The 3308-nt window shown below is 44.8% G+C and overlaps 1 annotated feature.

The window, feature by feature from the left end:
• Positions 770–970: a silencer, noted in NCBI's record as "peak3928 fragment used in MPRA reporter construct". NCBI's record gives its function as "represses an SCP1 promoter by STARR-seq MPRAs in K562 erythroleukemia cells {active_cell/tissue: K562}" and the evidence as "EXISTENCE:reporter gene assay evidence [ECO:0000049][PMID:32103011]".

A 3308-nucleotide genomic window follows, 5' to 3' on the forward strand; every position in this document is an offset into this window, starting at 1 on the left:
TGGCATCTGGAGAGAGTCTCATGGCAGAAGGGCAGAAGGTGGAAGTGTGTGAGACAGAGAGAGAAAATAGGGCTGAACTTGCCCTTTTTATCAGGAACCCACTCCTGAGATAACTAACCCCGTCCCTCAATAACAGCATTAATCCATTCATGAGGGCAAAGACTTCCTAAAGGCCCCACTTCTTACTACTGTCATGTTAGCAATTACATTTCAACATGAGTTTTGGAGGGAACATTCAAACCATAGCAAGGGCTATCCAGTTCAGAAATTATGTTCTATAATATTAAGTACAGAGCCATTCCATGTTTTTATGCTATGCTGACCTCCCCTCCCTCATTCCTTTTCACACAAGAACATATGCTTTGTGGATGAAGACAAGGATGATCTGTTAGTCAAAGTTGAACTCCCCTCCAATACAATAAGTAGCTCTTTTCTTTGTCTGCTGCTTTACTGGCCTGAGAAGCCCAAAGTAACCGGTGGCAGTACAACTTCAAGTTTCCTGGAGCCCTTACTGCAGCCCCTGGCACCTGGATGACTGAGAACAGAGCTGGCTGATATTCATATGAAGAGTCATACTGTCCACCTGGTTGTTGAAAGCCTCCTTTGTGAGGAGTGCTTTTTAATGAGCACAAAGATCCCATAGACTCAGCCATGGAGCTCTTCTGCAATACTCCCTCTCTCCAATGTTGCAGTTTTATTCCTTATGGGCTATGAGCTACCCAGCCCAGTCATTGCCACTGACCAGGAGTTCCTTCATAAACTTCCCTCATTTGAAGTGAACAGCCACGTGTACTGCTTGAATCTCTCCAGGCTGAGAGAATATCCCTTCACTGCTGTCCTTCAGAACCATCTTGGAGTGAGCCTGCAATACAGCAGAAGTCCACTCTCAGCCAGCACAAATATATAATGCCAACATGTCAGCAAATTTGGCCTAAGTTCTTTCCTTTTCCTTCATTTGGACAAAGGAGGTTCCCAAGAGCACTTAGGTGTGGGCTGAGGGGGAGGGTTTGGTGCAACAAGGTATGCAATGTGGGAGTCTGGGCTACCTTTCCATGTAATTTACTTGTGCCTTCCCGACCTGCCTGGGCTAGATCCTGAATGTATCATATCTGTTTCACAATGGATTGCTGCTGTGCTCCATTTTCCATGTCATCTTTCATTAACTCTCCCAATTATCAGTTTTATTAAAAGCATAACATGGGACAAATACTCTTGTAGAAAATTTATGCAAGAAGTTTATGCCAGAGAAAACACCTAGACTGAACACTTCATGTGAGAACTGCACTGTAGGATCTGGCAAATTCTGGGCAATTTCAGCCTGCAAAGTTCATTCATTTATCCCACAACCACTGACACTTTTCCCCTTTTCCTAAATGAATGTGAAATCTTGGGGCGCATGGGCCTCTGTGTTTGTCCTCAGCCTGGAACTTCATTCATATCTAGAATGTAAAGTTGCCCCAGAATTTGTCCTTTGGTTATATCAAGCCATGGTTTCTTGTCCTTTCAGATCTGTGAAAGCCACTGGCTTGGCCCTGGCTTTTGCTAGTCACCCAAAGGCACGAAGTTGGTTCAAGAGTCCCAGGACACCTCCCCAGTGTCAAACTTGAGCTTTCAATGGCGGCCTCAGGCTGGTTTCTGTTTTGCCCCATCACTAATTCCTCTTGACCAGGGAGGCACTTTCCTTCCCCAGATGGATTATCCACTGAGTCTTTCCTTTTCAGTCCTACATCACTTCTCTATAGCATGTCTTGCTAGTACAATCATATTAGAAGTACTGTAAGCATTTGCCCCATTGATCATGCTATTAAAAGATGTTGCCATCTAATTCTTTGGGTTTTTTTTTTTTTTTTTTTTTTTTTTTTTTTTTTTGTGAAGGAGTTTCACTTTTGTTGCCCAGGCTGGAGTGCAGTGCAATGGTGCGATCTCAGCTCACCTCAATATCCGCCTCCCCATTCAAGTGATTCTCCTGCTTCAGCCTTCCAAGTAGCTGGGATTACAGGCATGCACTACCATGCCTGGCTAATTTTGTATTTTTAGTAGAGACAGGGTTTCTCCATGATGGTCAGGCTGGTCTTGAGCTCCCGACCTCAGGTCATCTGCCCACCTTGGCCTCCCAAAGTGCTGGGATAACAGGTGTGAACCACCGGGCCTGGCCATTGCCATCTAATTCTTAAAAAGCAGAAAGCTAGCATGTAAGATTCTTCTGATACTTCTTGCTCTTAATGTTTCTCTTCTCCTGCTCTGACTTGGGACACTGAGTGGTGATTATAATTACTTTATAACACAATGGAATGGATTGTTATAGCAGAATAAAATGTTCCAAAGGAGTACTTAATTCCATCAAAGCATCCCTTATCCAAGTTTGCTAACTTAAATGAAGAATTGTTAACGTATTCTCTTTCATTTGTCAAATGTCCTTCCTGACCTTTCATTGTTTCACATTTTGAAAGGAAATTATGGTAAAATTGTCTGAGCCACCCTCCTCTGGATCCAGTGTCTTATTTAGTTCTGTATTTTGGGCTTACCACGGGCGGGAACTATCTACACAACCCAGATCCCCTTTCACCTAGGAGCCTACCAGAGCACGTGCAGGGGCAGCAGATGTGTATAAGGGCCCCCATGAATCCGTTCATTTTCTCATTGACTCTGTGACGAACTCGAGGGGGCTAGCTCTGCCCTGTGGTCCCCTGGGCGCCTGACACCGTGTGCCTCTCCTGCTGTGCTCACGGACTCTTTGTTAGACTTTTCAAATATAAAAAATCACAAACTGATAAATATAAAAAAAAGAGCAAACTAGAGTGGGGGAAATGGGTTTTGTAGAAAAGCATCTACAGAATTTTAGGGTCTATCTTTAGGAAAGGGTAAAACTCCAAGTGACTGCGTAGTTCCAAGGATCTACCTTTTCTCTGGCATGAGGTGGTCAGAGAGGCTTCCCTGCGAAGGCAGGGCTTAGAAGGGTCTGTAAATGATGGGAAGGAATCAGAAGTAGAGGCAAACTAAGCTTTCTAGATTGGGAAAGTGGGAGCACAGGGTCCAGAATATTATGGGTTTTTTTTTGTTTGTTTGTTTTTTAGATGGAGTCTTGCTCTGTCACCCAGGCTAGCGTTCAGTGGTGTGATCTCAGCCCACTGCAAGCTCCACCTCCCGGGTTCAAGCAATTCTCCTGCCTCAGCCTCCTGAGTAGCTGGGATTACAGGTGCCCACCACCACACCCAGCTAATTTTTGTAATTTTAGTAGAGAGGGGGTTTCACCATCTTGGCCAGGCTGGCCTTGAACTCCTGACCTCGTGATCCACCCTCCTCAGCCT

Source organism: Homo sapiens, chromosome 2 (assembly GCF_000001405.40).
Source record: "Homo sapiens chromosome 2, GRCh38.p14 Primary Assembly".
Taxonomy (NCBI): Eukaryota; Metazoa; Chordata; class Mammalia; order Primates; family Hominidae; genus Homo; species Homo sapiens.